Raw genomic sequence first — 18767 nt, 5'->3', positions numbered from 1 at the left:
GGGTGTGGTGGCTCACACCTGTAATCCCAGCACTTTGGGAGGCCGAGGTGGGCAGATCACATGCGGTCAGGAGTTCAAGACCAGCCTGGCCAACATGGTGAAACTCTGTCTCTACTAAAAATACAAAAACTCGCTGGGCGTGGTGGTGGACGCCTGTAATCCCAGCTACTTGGGAGGCCGAGGCAGGAGAATTGCTTGAACCCAGGAGGCGGAGGTTGCAGTGAGCCAAGATCACGCTACTGCACTCCAGCCTGGGCAACAGAGCAAGACTGCATCTCAAAATAAATAAATAAATAAATAAATGAATGAATGAATAAATAAATAAATAATAACTCTGTCTCAAAATAAATAAATAAATAAAATAGAATTTTGAAACCATTGTTGAATCACATGCAGTTGTAAGAAATAACACAGACACAGAGATCCTGTATACCCTTCACTTGGTTTCCTCCCGTCTTCCTTCCTTTTTATTTATTTATTTATTTTGAGACAGCGTCTCGCTCTGTCACCCCGACTGGAGTGCAGTGCAGTGGCACTATCTCAGATCACTGCCAGCTCCGCCTCCCAGGTTCATGCCATTCTTCTGCCTCAGCCTCCCAAGTAGCCAGGAACTACAGGCACCCCCCACCATGCCTGACTAATTTTAGCCAGGATGGTCTCGATCTCCTGACCTCATGATCCGCCCGCCTCGGCCTCCCAAAGTGCTGGGATTACAGGCGTGAGCCACCGTGCCCGGCCCTTCCTTTTTAAATCACACAGTTTCACTGCTCAGTGACACATTACATCAAAATTTGTATCAAAATACAATTAGCAATCTTTTCTCTAAGCTGCTGGTACAAATCTTTTTTTGCACTTGGATCTTTGCTTGCGGACCTAATTAAACTAAGAGCTTCTGCACAGCAAAAGAAACTATCAACAGAGTAAACAGACCATCTACAGAATGGGAGAAAATATTCAAAAACTATGAATCTGACAAAGATCTGATATTTAGAAACTATAAAGAACTCAAACAATTCAACAGGCAAAAGACAAATAACCCCATTAAAAAGTGGGCAAAAGACATGAACAGACACTTTTCAAAACAAGACATACAAGTGGCCAGCAAATACCTGAAAAAATGTTCCACATCAGTAATCATCAGAGAAATGGGAATCAAAACCACAGTGAGATACCATCTTATACCAGTCAGAATGGCCATTATTAAAAATCCAAAAAAATAACAGATGCTGGTGAGGCTGCAGAGAAAAAGGGAATACTTATACACTGTTGGTGAGGATATAAATTAGTTCAGCCACCATGGAAAGTAGTTTGGAGGTTTCTCAAAAAACTTAAAACAGAACTACCATTCAACCCAGCAATCCCATTACTGGGTTTGATTTATTTTCTTTTGGGTATATACCCAAATAAATCATTCTACCAAAAAGACACATGTACTTGTATGTTTATCACAGCACTATTCATAATAGCAAAGACAAGGAATCAGCCTAGATGCCCATTAGCAGTGGACTAGATAAAGAAAATGTGGTACATTTATACTATGGAATACTATGCAGCCATAAAAAGAATGAAATCAAGTCTTTTGCAGCAACATGGTTATAACTGGAGGCCATTCTCCTAAGCAAATTAATGCAGGAATAGAAAACCAAATACTGCATGTTCTCACTTATAAGTGGGAGCTAAGCACTGGGTACATGTGGGCATAAAGATGGGAACAATAGACACTGGGGACTAGTGGAGAAGAAAGGGAGGCAGACAAGCTGAAAACCTTGAAAAGCTACCTATTGGATACTATGCTCACTACTTGGATGATGGGATCATTCATACCCCAAACCTCAGCATCACACAACATACCCATGTAACAAACCTGCACATGTACCCCTGAATCTAAAATAAAAGTTGAAATTATTAAAAATAAATAAATAAAATAAACCTTTACTTGCATTTAATAATTTGTCATTTGACACTAGTAATAGTTCCTAAATGTTTTTTAAAAGGCCCTAAAATGTTAAGTTGTGCTTAATATGAATTCCACCTCAAATACTGTCATTCTTATTTTTCTAATTTTTAAACACTTGAGCACCTTTCTCTAAATGTGTTAAATAAATTTTTTTTTTTTTTGAGACAGAGTCTCACTCTGTCACCCAGGCTGGAGTGCAGTGGCGCGATCTTGGCTCACTGCAAGCTCTGCCTCCCAGGTTCATGCCATTCTCCTGCCTCAGCCTCCCAAGTAGCTGGGACTAAAGGCGCCCGCCACCACGCCTGGCTAATTTTTTTGTATGTTTAGTAGAGATGGGGTTTCACCATGTTAGCCAGGATGGTCTCGATCTCCTGGCCTCGTGATCCACCCACCTCGGCCTCCCAAAGTGCTGGGATTACAGGTGTAAGCCACTGCACTGGCCCTAATAAAATCTTAATATGTATTGCCCTGGAATGATCCTAACCTGCAATAGACAACATTGTGTAAGTTGGGTTGCTTTGGCATTGACCTTAAATATCCATGCCAGATAGTAGCATAAGAAAAACAAGTGCATGGATTTCCTTATCCCAACCTCACACCCTTTTGTGGGAAGGAATTGGAAGAAAGCTCCTAGATGCAGAGCCAGTTTTCTCAATCTCAACACTATTGACACTTTGGGATGGATAATTCTTTTTTTGGGAGGGGCAGGGGGAGCTGTCTGGTGCATTGTAGGATGTTTGGTAGTATCCCTGGCTTTTACCCACTAGATGCCAGTAGCACCCCTGACCCACCCTACCAGCTGTGACAATCAAAAATGTCTCCAGACATGGCTAAATGTCTTCCGGAGGACATCATTTATCTTGGTTGAGCTCCACTGGCTCAGAGGATCCAGAGAGGCAGAGAAAGGATTGTGAGACTAGGACTATAAAGGATGTCTCCAGGTTTGTAGGAACTTTTGCACATTTTTTTTCCTGAAAACCCTGGAAGTCCTAATTTCTTCACTGACCCCCCTGCGTTGCTGAGACAAAGGCATAGAGTGCAGGCTCCAGAGCTAGACTGCTCAGACTCAAATCCTCGCTTTGCCAGTTGCTAACTGGGGGGCTTCAGGCAAGTTTTGATCCCTAAGCCTGATTTCCTCATTGTGAAATGGGGATACGATAGAAGCCACCTCACATAAGAGAATCCATACTAAGTGCTTATCACCGATCAGAGGCCTGGCACGTTGCAAATAGTGTTAGGCACGTGTGCACGCACACACACACACACACCCCAGAGCAGTTGCAGTTAAGGCATTTTCGCAGAAATTACGGTGATGGCTATCTTTTGTAAGTAATTATGGTGATAGCTATCTTTTGTATGGTGGATTAAAGGACATCCATCGTATTGTGAAGGATTTAATAATAAATAAGTTACAGAAATTAACTGCCTTTACAGAAATAGGGAAGGCAGTGTTTAATAACTAAGCGTAAGGGCGTAATTCCTCTGCTCTGCTGAGAAGCCAGGTTAAAGCACTTATTATTGGCTAGGCATTAATTACATTATTCCTGATCCTCCTTACAGTCACGTAAGGTGGCCATTATTATGCCCAATTTTAGGGTAAAGAAATAAAGTTCAGAGAGGTTAAGTCACTAGCTCAAGGTCACAGCACTAATAAATTGCTAACAGGGGAGTCTAGCTCACATCGGATTTAATTCAAACCCTTTCTTTTGCGGCTGTGCAATATAATAGAAAGTGGACGAGTAAAAGGCAGGCAGAGGGAAGATGAACTGAAATGACCCAGGGAAAGATTGTAAAGGAGGCACTTGGCCAGAGAGAGAAAATGCCAAGAGTGAAAGATGAGAGCTGTTCTTTTAGCAGAGGGAGCTGAGATTCCTTGACAGATAGTAACACTAATCTTCACTTGTCCTTTCTTTAAATTTTTTTTTTTTTTTTTGAGACAGAGTCTCGCTCTGTCACCCAGGCTGGAGTGCAATGATGCGATCTCTGCTCACTACAACCTCCACTTCCCAGGTTCATGCCATTCTCCTGCCTCAGCCTCCCAAGTAGCTGGGACTACAGGCACCCACCACCACGCCCGGCTAATTTTTTTTTTTTTTTTTGTATTTTTAGTAGAGACGGGGTTTCACCATGTTAGCCAGGATGATCTTGATCTCGTGACCTCGTGATGCGCCCACCTCGGCCTCCCAAAGTACTCGGATTACAGGTGTGAGCCACCGCGCCTGGCTGTCCTTTCTTTAAATTTTTAAGGAAATTGAGAAAGAGAAAAGGCAGATGTTGGAAATTCAGCTGGAGAAGATATTTCGAGGTGTCACTTTGTGCTGTCTGCAGTGATGGGAGCTCTCAGTGTGAAGCCCTAATTTAGGCTGTCCAGAGAAACCCAGCCAGAGAGTGTCCTGTTGGCAGAAGGATGGAGAGGTTTATAGGAGAAGGGCCTTGGGAAAAGAGAAGGGATTTTGAATTCTGCCTTGGCTGAGAAAACAAACAATTATTTGGCAGCAAATATTTACTACAGTATATGCTCTCAGCTGCTCAATCATTCTGCTGTCCCTGGCTATCCATTTCAGCTGACCTACAAGGCAAACCTCTAAAAGGTGAGCTCTCTGGGTGCTGAGCAACGGAGGACCAGACCGGCTGCAGCTCCTTAGGAACAAACATACTGATCTCTGACTCCACGTTCTTTAGAATGGAAAATCCGGCCCTTAGAAAATAAGCAGCCATTGATAAACTCCGGGTAAATCTTGTCTAACTGGCAAGGAGCACAATGACTTCCAGGCTGGGGGTGGGGCAAAGCAGCGGCTGAGTGTGTTTGGACCGTATTCCCCCTTTCAAAGGCCCCCGGGCCAGCTGGAGGCTTTACAAGGGCCCCCACTCAGGCCAGCCAGCAGGGAGTTGAAGTAATCTAATTTTAATTATGTGACAAATGCATGAAGAATCATTTAAAGGTCTGTCAGAGGGAAAAATGGCTCCAGTCTGCCAGGACTCCTTAGATGGCAATAAAGAAACCCGTGGCCTAAATGCTGGGTTTTGGTGCTTAAAAAAAAAAAAAGACTCATATAACCAGATTGCACACTATTGAAACAGACATAGGCTATGAGAGGACATTCATTAGTCAAGGACAAAGACACCCCACAAGGCAGCTGTCTACATGAGCATAAGTCTACATTTTTACTGGTGTTAAATCGTCTTTAAAAAATATGATGATGATTCTCTTTTGTCTAAAACCAAACGAGTGAACATAGCTATGGATAGTGCCAACAACAAATGATTTATAAAGCACTTTCATATACATTATCCAGTTGAAGCTTCAAAAACATTATCTTGGCTGGGCGCGGTGGCTCACACCTGTAATCCCAGCACTTTAGGAGGCCGAGGTGGGTGGATCACCTGAGGTCAGGAGTTTGAGACCAGCCTGGCCAACATGGTGAAACCCTGTCTCAAAAATTAGCTGGGTGTGATGGTGTGCACCTGTAGTCCCAACTACTTGGGAGGCTGAGGCACAACAATTGCTTGAACCTGGGAGGAGGAGGTTGCGGTGAGCTGGGTTGCAGTGAGCCGAGATTGCGCCACTGCACTCCAGCCTGGGCGACAGAGTGAGACTCTGTCTCAAATAAACAAAACAAAATAAAACAAAAAACATGATCTTGTTGAATCTTTAAGGCAAGTTCTTAGTTTTAAGTAATAAAGACTTGATTTCTGAAATCCCACTTTGGTTTAATTTGCCGCTAGTTATGACTTATATCAAAATGAAACTAAAAGTCCTTTCATCTAAAGCAAGGTGGCACAATTTTTTTTTTTTTTTTTTTTTTTTTTTTAGACAGAGTCTCACTCTGTTACCCAGGTTGGAGTGCAGTGGCCCGATCTCACTGCAAGGTCCGCCTCCTGGGTTCATGCCATTCTCCTGCCTCAGCCTCTCGAGTAGCTGGGACTACAGGCACCCGCCACCACGCCTGGCTAATTTTTTGTATTTTTAGTAGAGACAGGGTTTCACCGTGTTAGCCAGGATGGTCTCGATCTCCTGACGTCGTAATCTGCCCGCCTCGGCCTCCCAAAGTGCTGGGATTACAGCCGTGAGCCACCGTGCCCAGCTGAGGTGGCACTATTTTAAAGTTCTGAGAGCCTAAAGCCAAGAGATCAGTCTTCTATTAAGCCAGCCAGCCTTGACCAAAAGATCTCTGAGGACAGCGGCCATCTCCCAGCAGCCCACTGCTATAGAAAGTCTTTGGCATCAGGTAAGTGAGAAGGCAGTGTTGCAATCATTAAGCAGATTAAGACTCTTGGCTTTTTCAAAGGTATTGCTACATCTTCCTCATATTGAACACAGATTTCTGCCCAGAGCTCCACCCCAGGTCAACATAGTAAAGTTTACTGAAAAGTTTGTCACAAAATGTATGAGACAAGCAATGAGTGGGAACCTCAGAGAATCTGGACAAGTAGATGCAAAATTATTCTGCCTCAAGATGTTTATATCAAATGTGTCCTTGCAGCTCCCAGAAAATGGGAATGTAGCCTTCCTGCGTTGATTTCTAAAGTAGTAGCCATAGGCTTTCTTCTCTCTGCACAGTGTTCCAGTAAGAAGGGTAACATAATCTTTTCTCATTTTCCCCAGGGACAAGGTTAGTCAGGCTAATGCTAGGTTATGCTTCGGTAACAAATAAACCTCAAGTTCTCAGCAGCTTAACCTAACAAAAGTGTACTTCTCACTCATATCACAGCCTGAGGCAGGCTTCTCTTGGCAGCTCTCTAAACAGTGAAATCAGAGCACTTTTAATGCAAAACCGCAATTACTTTTGCACCAACCTGATATGGCCAGTGATGATGGCATCTGCATTCTGTACCTTCAAGGTCACTTTGGAAAGGGAAAGAGAGGACGAGAGGAAACATATTAGCTTTCAAATGCACAGGCTTAGAAGTGAGTGACAAAAGCATCCCTTCTGCTTGAAGCTCATTGTCCAGGTCTGATCATGTGTCCCCAACCCAACCGCAAGGAGGTAGAGAAATGTAGAGAAGTCCGCCACTATCTGGGAAACATTAACCATTTCTGCCCCCAAGGACTCTACTCAGAACCATTCCCCACTAACACCCTGGTCTGGTAATTTTCATGCAAACAAGAAGTGGTTCTTCCTCACAAGAGACTGGGTTCATACAATACAGACGGTGGTTGGCATTACTACTGACCAGGAATACATTTTTTCTTGCTCCTCTCATATAGCTGTCCATAAAATATTTTGATTTGAGATTCCATCTGCAACAGAGTAACAAGAATTCATTTTTTTCCTCTTGTAGTGCTAAAAAATTGACTAGTCAAATATATATGGTAATTCTTGGATGCTTGTTAATAAAAATATATATAAATCATAAAAAGGTGGAATGTTAGCCCAAGAACACTGCATCTAATTTACAAGGACAGCAGTCAGTCCCCGGAATAGCATTGCAGCTTCCAACACTAGGTTCATGTTTATGCAATGCTCACGTATCTAGGACCAGACTCAGGGTGGGTGATGCCATCAAGGAAAAAGTGAAAGTATTTAAAAAGCAACTCAATTCTCCTTTTGAATTTCTCAGAGACTATCAAAAACAGATTCTTTTCATAATCCACAGCATCACTTATTTGTTCCCTTTTTCTCTCCTCTCTAATCATCTCACATGCCATGGTAAAACTGTTTTACTCATACCAGAATAAAACTCTTTAATAAACAGCCAGTGCAGCTTTCTAGTATCACTTCTGCCTTCCCAGTGGATCCATCTAAATTCTCTTCCATCTGGGGAAAGCCAGGAGGAAGAGGATTAAAATCAAGTAGACAAATACAAAATTCCCTTTAGCAATGGGGAAAGAGGGGGAGCTCTGAATACTCATATGTTAATAATTTGTGCCCCCAGGCCAGGCACAGTGGCTCACATGGGTAATCCCAACACTTTGGGAGGTGGAGGTGGGAGGATCACTTGAGGCCAGGAATTCAAGAGCAGCCTGGGCAACATACTGAGATCTCATCTCTAAAAAAACTAAAACAAATTAGCTAGGCATGGTGGTCCACACCTGTGGTCCTAGCTACTTGGGAGGCTAAGGTGGGAGGATCACTTGAGCCCCAGGAGGTCAAGGTTGCAATGAGTTGTGATCATGCCCCTGTACTCCAGCCTAGGCGATAAAGTGAGACCCTGTTGCCAAAAACAATTAAAAAATAAGAAAAATAAATAATTCGTGGCCCGTCACATTTGCAGATCCAGCAATCCTTTGGAAGCATCTTGCATATTCCTTGTACTTAACGACTCTTCCCACAGGCCTACTTCTTTTTTTTTTTTTTTTTTTTTTCTGAGATGGAGTCTCACTCTGTTGTCGCCCAGGCTGAAGTGCAGTGGTGCCATCTCAGCCCACTGCAACCTCCGCCTCCCAGGTTCAAGTTATTCTCCTGTCTCAAGCCTCCCGAGTAGCTGGGACCACAGGCACGTACCACCATGGCCTGCTATTTTTTTTCTACTTTTAGTAGAGACGGGGTTTCACCGCGTTAGCCAGGATGGTCTCGATCTCCTGACCTCGTGATCTGCCTGCCTTGGCCTCCCAAAGTTCTGAGATTACACACGTGAGCCACCACGCCCGGCCACGCCTACTTCTTTAATAACTTACCACACCCCTCGTAATCAGAGGCCCAGATATGAAGTTATGCTTAGGAATGCCTTTGAGATCGCAAGAGAGAAATGAAAAAGTTAAAGTGGAGGTAGAAATAACTTTGAAAAGGAAATAAAAATCAGAATTCCTCTCAGTAGAAAAACATCTATTTTCTACCCAGTCATGAAGGGGAACTTGAGTTTGTGTTTTGGGACCTTCATTTCCCATTAGTTCAAAATGATGATGCAGAGTTTCCTTTCATGTTTTTGTATTTTCCACCCCACATGGCGTATGTCACTTAGTCTCACAAAGAATCCCCATTGCTCTTTCGGGTTATGCATCCTCACAGGTGGCCTGCTCCAGCAGACTCTGCAGCAGCTCCCAGTCTCTGTAGCCCTCTCCTTCACATAGACGGTGACAACTGGCTCCTCCGCAGCTCTCCGATCCTAACCCTTCTGTTCAGTAGCGCTCAACCCTGGCTGCATATTGCAGTCATCTGGAGAGCTTTGAAAAATCCTAGGGCCCAGGTGCACCTCAAACTATTAACTATGAGCATGGGACCCAGCCACCTGTATTTTGTACAGTTCCCTAGCTGATTGAGATGTGAAGCCAAGGTTGAAAACCACAGCTCTAGCCCAGTGTCTCTTTTTTTTTTTTTTTTTTTTTTTTGAGACAGAGACCAGCCTGGCCAACATGGTGAAAACCTGTCTCTACTAAAAATACAAAAATTATCTGGGTGTGATGGTGTGTGCCTGTAGTTCCAGCTGCTTAGGAGGCTGAGGCACTAGAATTGCTTGAACTCAGGAGGCGAAGGTAGCCCAGTGTCTCTTAAACTTTAAAGGGTATCAATTCCCTGGCAGTGCCTGCGAAAAATGTAGGTTCTTTTTTCTTCTGAGAGATTCTAACTCACCGAGTGTGAGGTTAGGTTCAGTAATCTATTTTATAAGCACCTTCTGGGAATACTGATGCAAACGGTTTCCAGACCACCCTTTGAGAAACATCGCTTTTCGAGGGCTCAAATGCTAAGTCACACCATGCTGCTGTTTCCATAAGCATTTAAAATATTTTTAAATTAATAGTATAGAAATTTTCTTCTTTTTTCTTTTTTTAGAGATCTGGGTCTCACTGTGTTGTCCAGGCTGGTCTTGAACTCCTAGGGTGACATGATCCTTCCATTTCTGCCTCCCAAAGTACTAGGATTGAATGTGTGAGCCACTGTGCCTGGCCGGAATTTTCAAACATACATAAAAGTAGAGATAATAGTATAATGACTGTTCTGGTCATCTATTGCTACATAACAAATCACTTTAAAATTCAGTTGTTTAAGACAATCATTTAGTTTGCTCATGAATCTGTAATTTAGGGAAGAGTTAGCAAGGACAGCTGGTCCTTGCTCCATCTGTCATCAGCTGGGGTAGCTCAAATGGGCCTGGAAGATCCACTTCCAAGATGGTTCACTCACTCATAATAAACAGACAAGTTAATGCTGGTTATTGGCTGAAAGTCAGCTGGCAGGGCTGGATGGGGATCTTGTTTTCTCTCAGCTTAGTTCTCTTTAGAAGACTGCTTGGGCTTCCGCACGGCATGGCAGCTAATTTCCAAGAGTGAGTGTGCCAAGAGGCAGAAAGTAGTGGCAGCTGCCACTTGTTTGAGTCCTGACCCAAGAAACTAGCATAGCATAATTTCCTTCAGATTCTATTGATCAAATCAATCAAAAAAGCTGCCCAGATTCAACAGTGTAGGAAATAGATCCTATCTCTTGTTGGAAGAAGTGTCAGATTTGTGGCCATCATTAATCCATCACCTAGCTTTACTTACATCTACTTTTGTACATTGGCCTTTTCCTATACCTGAGGCCAGAAGGTCTGCCTTGAACCCAATTCTGCAAGCAGATTCCATCTTTTTGCATTTATCTAAGTCCCAGTCAACTTCCTTGAGGCCACCTCTCCCCTGTTTTGTTTGGATCTCTGAAAATTAACAGTCCTTTTGAGAGATGACAACATGCTAGCAGCCCTCGCTCACTCTCAGCGCCTCCTCGGCCTCAGCGTCCACTCTGGCCACACTTGAGGAGCCCTTCAGCCTGCCACTGCACTGTGGGAGCCCCTCTCTGGGCTGGCCAAGGCTGAAGCCGGCTCAGGCGGGAACCGGGGCTGCACGCGGTGCTTGGGGGCCAGCGCGAGTTCCGGGTGGGCACGGGCTTGGCGGGCCCCGCACTCGGAGCGGCCTGCCAGTGCCACTGGCCCTGCGCAGTGAGGGGCTTAGCACCCGGGCCAGCAGCTGCGGAGGGTGTGCCAGGTCCCCCAGCACTGACAGCCGCAGGCCTCAGCCTCCTCCCCACAGGGCAGGGCTCAGGATCTGCAGCCCGCCATGCCCACCCTAGCCCCCCCTTCCCCCCTGCCCCTTCCCCCTCTCCCTTCCCCCAGTCCCCTCCCCACCTCCTCCTGCCCCACCCCCTCCCTCCCCGCCCCCTTGCCCCTCCCCGCCCCCTCCCCCTGCACCCTCCCTCCCCCCTCCCCTCCCTTCTCCCCCCTCCTCCCTGCTCCCCTCCCCCCGCGGCCCAGGCGCAGGATCCAGTAGGCGAAGCCAGCTGCGCTCCTCAGTCGGGTGGGGACTTGGAGAACTTTTATGTCTAGCTAGAGGATTGTCAATGCACCAATCAGCACTCTGTCTAGCTAAAGGTTTGTAAACACACCAATCAGTGCTGTGTCTAGCTAATCTACTGGGGACGTGGAGAACTTTTATGTCTAGCTAGAGGATTATAAATGCACCAATCAGCACTCTGTGTCTAGCTCGGGGATTGTAAACACACCAGTCAGCACCCTGTCAAAACAGACCAGTCAGCTCTCTACAAAATTGCTTGAACCCAGGAGACCAAAAAATTGGTCTGTAAAACAGACCAATCAGCTCTCTGCAAAATGGACCAATCAGCTCTCTGTAAAATGGACCAATCAGCAGGATGTGGGTGGGGCCAGATATAGGAATAAAAGCAGGCTGCCTGAGCCTGCAGCTGCAACCCAAGTGAGTCCCCTTCCACAATGTGGAAGCTTTATTCTTTTGCTCTTTGCTAAATGTTTTTACTGCTCACTGTTTGGGTCTGTGGTGCCTTTATGAGCTGTAATATTCACCACAGAGGTCTGCAGCTTCATTCCTGAAGTCAGCAAGACCACGAACCCACCGGAAGAGACGAACAACTCCAAGCCTGCCACCTTTTAAGAACTGTAATACTCACTGTGATGGTCTGCAGCTTCACTCCTTGAAGCCAGCGAGACCATGAGCCCACCAGAAGGAAAAAACTCCAGACACATATGAACGTCTGAAGGAACAAACTCTGGACAAACCATCTTTAAGAACTGTAACACTTGCCGCAAGGGTCCGTGGCTTCAATCTTTAAGTCAGCAAGACCAAGAACCCACCAATTCCGGACACCCTTTGATTTCCAGTCTGTTCTTTGCCTGCCATTTGGGTTCACTGATTCTGGGTTGTAGAGCTCCCCAGTATCTACTTTGCGTTGTCTCATCAATCAGAATTCAATCTCTGCTTGTCTCTGTACTTCCTCCTAGCTTCCGGAGCTAGGTTTATTCTTCTGTTACCTTTACCCATTCAACAAAGAGGAGGCGGAATTGTTGAAACTATCTTTAGGTCCTGATTCCTCCAGGCCAGCCTTGTACCACTGTAGCCAGGTAGAACATACGGGTTATCTCTGCGGTAGCTCCAATCTTTTCACATACCTGTCTTTCCTCCTTATCACTTTTCTAAATTTAAATCACAGAATCTTAGAATTCCAGAGCAGGAAGGGGTCTCAGACTATCTAGAACGCAACCTCGAGTTTTACGGATAAGCACATCTGTGTTCCTTCCCTCATATTGCCACCTTGATGCCCTTTGATTTGGGACCAGGATTTCACTTAATCTTAGTAAAACGACTTTCCTATTCTCCCATTCAAAACCTCTTTTTTTCAGGGAAAAAAGAAGTAGTAAAGCTAACTTTATATCCCTGAAAATAGCTAGTGGGTAAAATTGGGTGGGGTGTGACAGAAAGAAGTCTCCATGTTCTCCCTATAGTAAAAGAAAAACCTGTTTCCAAATTATTTGAACACATTCATGTGTTTGTATGCTCCTTGTGCTTTCTATTGAGCAGCCTTGACAAGTGAGTAACTGGAAAACAACATTGCTGTTTTCCCACTATGCTGTTAGAAAGAGGAAGTGTGCTTCTGAGACAAGGATAATGAAAGCGTAGGACTGTGGCTTCCAGGGCTGCAGCTAGCAACTGTAGCAATCTGAGTAAGCAGCACAATACTTGCTTCCAAATTAATGGAGATGCACAATGGGGAAGATGAGGGTGAGTAAGAAGATGAAGACTCCTTAGGCTGACAGGGCCTCTGCTTTTTGGTCTTTTGTGGATGTGGAAGGAGAGTTAATTTGACTTTCAAAAAAATTATACTTTAGGCCGGGCGCGGTGGCTCACGCCTGTAATCCCAGCACTTTGGGAGGCCGAGGCGGGCGCATCACGAGGTCAGGAGATCAAGACCATCCTGGCTAACACGGTGAAACCCCATCTCTACTAAAAAATACAAAAAATTAGCCAGGCGTGGTGGCAGGAGCCTGTAGTCCCAGCTACTAAGGAGGCTGAGGCAGGAGAATGGCGTGAACCTAGGAGGCAGAGCTTGCAGTGAGTGGAGATCGCACCACTGTACTCCAGCCTGGACTACAGAGCGAGACTCAGTTACAAGAAAAACAAAACAAAACATCAAATGGAAGCAGTGTCAACAACCATTCCATCATTTAGCTAGGAATAATCTCCATTGCTCAGCTATGGTGAATATTGCAAAAGAGGGCATAATTACCTCTGAGATAAGCTGCCGAATCCATTGTTCTACAAGAAGTCATAAATGTAGTTGTTAGTCATCACAAAAATATTTTAAAATAGTACTTAAGGCTGGGCGCGGTGGCTCACGCCCGTAATCCCAGCACTCTGGGAGGCCCAGGCAGGTGGATCACGAGGTCGGGAGATCGAGACCATCCTGGCTAACATGGTGAAACCCTGTCTCTACTAAAAAAATACAAAAAATTAGCCGGGCGTGGTGGTGGGCGCCTGTAGTCCCAGCTACTCAGGAGGCTGAGGCAGGAAAATGGCATGAACCCAGGAGGCGAAGCTCACAGTGAGCCGAGATCGCGCCACTGCACTCCAGCCCGGGCGACAGAGCAAGACTCTGTCTCAAAAAAAAAAAATAAAAAAAAATTAAACTTTAGGCTGGGCGCAGTGGCTCATGCCTGTAATCCCAGCACTTTGGGATGCTGAGGAAGGTGGATCACCTGAGGTTGGGAGTTTGAGACCAGACTGGCCAACCTGGAGAAACCCTGTCTCTACTAAAAATAGAAAAATTAGGTGTGGTGGCGTATGCCTGTAATCCCAGCTACTTGGGAGGCTGAGGAAGGAGAATCTCTTGAACCCAGGAGGCGGAGGCTGCAGTGAGCCGAGATCGCGCTATTGCACTCCAGCCTGGGCAACAAAAGCGAGACTCCGTCTCAAAAAAAAAAATTACAGTTTAGAATAGTTTTATACTCCACCTGTGGCATCTCCTCAAAAGCCTCAATTCCTTGAGCAATGTGGTATACCATAAATGTGGATTATATGGTATACAGCAGGTACCATAGATGTTGATTCCTTAGAATTAGTGGTATATGCATGTGCGTGCACATACACACACACACACACAGAGCCTCTGTCACTCTTGAGATTGTCCTAATTCATTAAGACACATGAATTGAGTGACTATTGTGTATAAGGCCCTGCCTTAGATAGGCCCTGCAGATACAAAGTCATACAAACATGATTCTGTATCTCAAGGGTACCAAGAAATAAATCTATAATTATTTTCAAATACATTGAGTGAAATGATTGGTGCCTTTGAAGATGGCCTGTTTCAGATTTTAAAAGAGCGTAACTCTATCACTCATTAAGAGCTATTAGCAGCCCCCCTCTCCTTTCTTAAACATTTTCTTCTTTCTTTCAGGCTTGGCCTTTAGAGAGTCAAAATTATGTTCTCTAAAACAGCCTTCTCAGTCATGCTCCAGGGTGGCTCCCTTGTTATTTTTATGATATTGACTCAAGGAAGCACAGGCTTTGAGAGCTGGAAGGAACGTTGGATACATATCCCTTTCCCTGTGTTCTCTTTGAAACACGTGTCATGTTACTTTCCATTTCGTTATATATATTGTGCAGCTGTTCAAGTTCTGCAAGTGGGGAAGGTCATTGATATAAATAGGCACCTCACCAAATGAGGAGTGTGCTCCCGGGACCTTTGGAAGAGAAGGACCTCATCCTGTGAGTGCTGCCATTGTTAGGAAGACGGAGATTTCCTGTTCCCCCTCGATCCCTAGGCATTACAAATGGAAAGCGTGAAAAGAATTACAGAAATTGAGGGGAGGCAGAGGACCCTGAGAAGCGAATTCCTTTGTCAAGTTATGTCCTGAGACTGGTTTGATGTCTCCAAGGTTCAAGTTCTTGGAAATGGCTCAGAAAAATGTTTTTAATAAGCAAATTGCCTTGGGGGAGAATACAGGCATGTCTCTCAACATGATTAACTTACTTTAGAAACACAGAAAAACATAATCCAAGGTGTTAATCACATTTCATGAGGTCAGAATATCATCAGAGGTCTGGAGCATAATTTAATCAGGTTGACTGAATAAAGTTAAGGTTTTACCAGGTGCAGTGGCTCATGCCTGTAATCCCAGCACTTTGGGAGGAGGTGGGAGGCCAGGAGTTCGAGACTAGCCTGGGCAACATAGCTGGACTCCATCTCCACAAAAAATAAGTAAAATTAAGGTTGGTATTAACTTTACCTACATTTGTAATACCATACATTTTAGAAATATTGACTGATTTGTTTACTCCAGCATATCTTCCATTTAATGTATAAATGACAGGAATAACCCTCAATTTTTGGATGCCAGAAACAGGACGATTCACAAGGGAAAGCAACAGCATATCTGACCATATAACAACAAAGAACTTATATTTATTCAACAAATTTGAATGAACTTCCACTTTGTGACCATCTCTGCACTCAGTGCTCAAAGCCTTGCTAGTCTTCATCATTCCATCTGTGTTGAAAAACTAAAGAAAAACAGAAGTAGGCCAGGTGTGGTGACTCACGCCTGTAATCCCATTACTTTCGGAGGCCAAGATGGGTGAACTGTATCTGGAATTGGTGGATTCTTGGTTTATGTTGACCTCAAGAATGAAGCTGCACACCCTGGTGGTGTCACAGTTCTTAAACATGGTGTGCCTAGAGTTTGTTCCTTCGGCTGTTCAGATGTGTCCAGAGTTTCTTCCTTCTGGTGGGTTCGTGGTCTCACTGACTTCAGGAATGAAACTGCAGACCTTCAGCATTGAGTGTTACAGCTCTCAAATGCAGCATGTCTGGAGTTGTTCCTACCTTCTACTGGGTTTGTGGTCTTGCAGGCCTCAGAAGTGAGGCTGCAAACCTTTGCAATGAGTGTTACAGTTCATAAAGGTGGCAGAATTGTTCATCCCTCCCAGTGGGTTCACAGTCTTGCTGGCTCTAGAAGTGAAGCTGCTGACTTTCCCTGTGAGTGTTACAGTTCATGAAGGAAATACGAATGGAAACTGAGCAACAACAAGATTCATTGTAAAAAGCAAAACAACAAACCTACCACGGCACGGAAGGGAACTACAGTACGTTGTTACTGTTGGGGCTGGTGGCTTGCTTTTATTCCCTTATCTGGCCCCACCCACATCCTGCTGATTGGTCCATTTGACAGAGAGCTGATTGGTCCATTTTGACAGAGTGCTGATTGGTGAGTTTACAAACCTTTAGCTAGACACAGAGTGCTGATTGGTGCATTTACAATCCTTTAGCTAGACACAAAAGTTCTCCAAGTCCCCGCCCCATTAGCTAGACACAGAGTGCTGATGGGTGCATTTACAATTTTTTAGCGAGACAGAAAAGTTCTCCAACTGCGAACCCGTCTCAGAAGCCCAGCGAGCTTCACCTCTGACTGGAGCTCGCTGCAGGGAGTTTGGGGCACCCAGCCTGGGCAGTCCGGCAGCCCAGAGGAAGCTCCTCCCGGACAACCAAGAGGAAAAGAGGGAAAGCGAGAAAGACGGAGAGCCGCCATCGTGGCCAACGACCGCGCGAAGAAGGAAGGGCGATTCATGCACGGGACCCAGCCTCCAATCAAGCCCAGCAGGCGCCAGCCGGCGGCGCCGAGTGCAGGGCTCGCGAAGCCCGCCGAGCCTGCGCCCACCCAGAACCCGTGCCGGCCCGCGAGCGGTGTGCGCAGCCCCAGCTCCAGCCCGCGTCTCTCTCTTCACACTTTCCCGCCAGTAGAGGGAGCCGGCTTTGGCCTCGGCCAGCCCCAGAGAGGGGCCCTCACAGTGCAGCTGCGGGCTGAAGGGCTCCTTGAGCGTGGCCAGAGCAGACACCGAGGCCGAGGAGGCGCCCGAGGGCTGCTAGCATGTTGTCACCTCTCAGGATCACCCGAGGTCAGGAGTTTGAGACCAGCCTGGCCAACCTGCTGAAACCTCGTCTCTACTAAAAATACAAAAAAATTTAGCTGGTGGTGGACGCCTGTGATTCCAGCTACTTGGGAGGCTGAGGCAGGCGCATCACCTGAACCCGGGAGGCGGAGGTTGCAGTGAGCCGAGATCGCGCCATCGCACCCCAGCCTGGGCGACAGAGCGAGACTCCGTCTCTAAAAAAAAAAAAAAAAAAAAAAAAAAGAAAGAAAAACATAAGTATAGTGGGAAAACACTTTTACAAAAGTAACAAAATGTTCACATGTTGCTTACTATATAAAATTCAGTAGAATGTTGTTTATGATACTGATACTATGCAAGGATACATTACTCAAACATAGAAAAGCTGACAAGATAATAAGAAATTAATAGATTAAAATATAAATGGATATGGGAACCAAGAAGACTAAATGGAAAGCTAGGTGCCAAAATCTCTGATACCCGGAGGTCCTATTTGAAAATAGTCTCTTTAAAGAGGTAATTAAGTTAAAATGAGGCTGTTAGGGTGTGTTCTAATCCAATATGACCGGTGTCCTAAGAAGAGATTGGAACACACAAAGACACCAGGACAGACACCAGTGCACAGAGCAATGACTGTGTGAGGAGGTAGCAGGTGGGTGACCCTCTGCAAACCAAAAAGAGAGGCCTCAGAGGACCCAACCCTGCCAGCACCTTGATCTGGGACTTCCAGCCTTCGGAACTGTAAGAAAATTTTCTGTTGTTAAGATTTCCAGTCTGTGGTATTTTGTTATGGCAGCCCTAGCAAAGTAATACACCTTTCATAAAGATTCTGGGGCTCAGCAGAGCAAGAGGAATAAGAAAAAGTCTCTGAGAACTTGTACCTAGCAGATGAGCCCTTCTGAGTATCTGCAGGTCAATTTGATATTATCTGAGTGGTTAAAAAATTGAAATTCTGAATTTAATTTAAAAGTGGTCCCACAGTGTTACTGCTTCTAGGCACCCAGAATATGCAAATACAAATCTTCTTAGGAGGAATATGCCTTCATCTTACACATCAACAAATTCCCAAAATGTATGCTACACGAATGGGCCTTGAAACATTATGCTTATTGAAATAATCCAGGCACAGGACAAATATTCTATGATTCCATTTATACAAGGTACCTAGAATAGGCAAATTCATAGATATAGAAAGTAGAATAGAGGTTACCAGGGATGGAAGAGAAAGGAAAGCGAGTTATTGTTTAATGGGTATAGAGTTTTAAGTGGGAATGATAAAAATGTTTGGGATAAATGTAGTGATGAAGATTATACAACATTGTGGATGTATTTAATGCCGCATAAAATTATGAATGGTTAAAACAATAAATATTATATATTTATACCATATATATATACCATAATAAAAAACCACAGATTTTAAAATTCTCAAATATAATATCTAAAGAACAATGAAAGCAGTTATAAATAAATGAGACATTGTGCATAAGAAAGAATAATTACTCATCTTTTGAATAAACCCTCTGCTTATTATATATAAAAAAAGGCAAGATTGAATCTGAAAATAAGCTTAGGCTATAAAAATGACACAGTAGATTTGAGAAGGGACCAAACAGATATTCCATAAATAAAACATAGTAATTAAAATAAAGCACTCAAAGGACAGATCTAAAAGCAAGTTTAGGCCGGGCGCAGTGGCTCACG

The sequence above is a fragment of the Homo sapiens genome, chromosome 6 (genome assembly GCF_000001405.40).
Source record: "Homo sapiens chromosome 6, GRCh38.p14 Primary Assembly".
NCBI classification, from domain to species: Eukaryota; Metazoa; Chordata; class Mammalia; order Primates; family Hominidae; genus Homo; species Homo sapiens.
Note: the sequence above shows the minus strand (reverse complement) of the source record.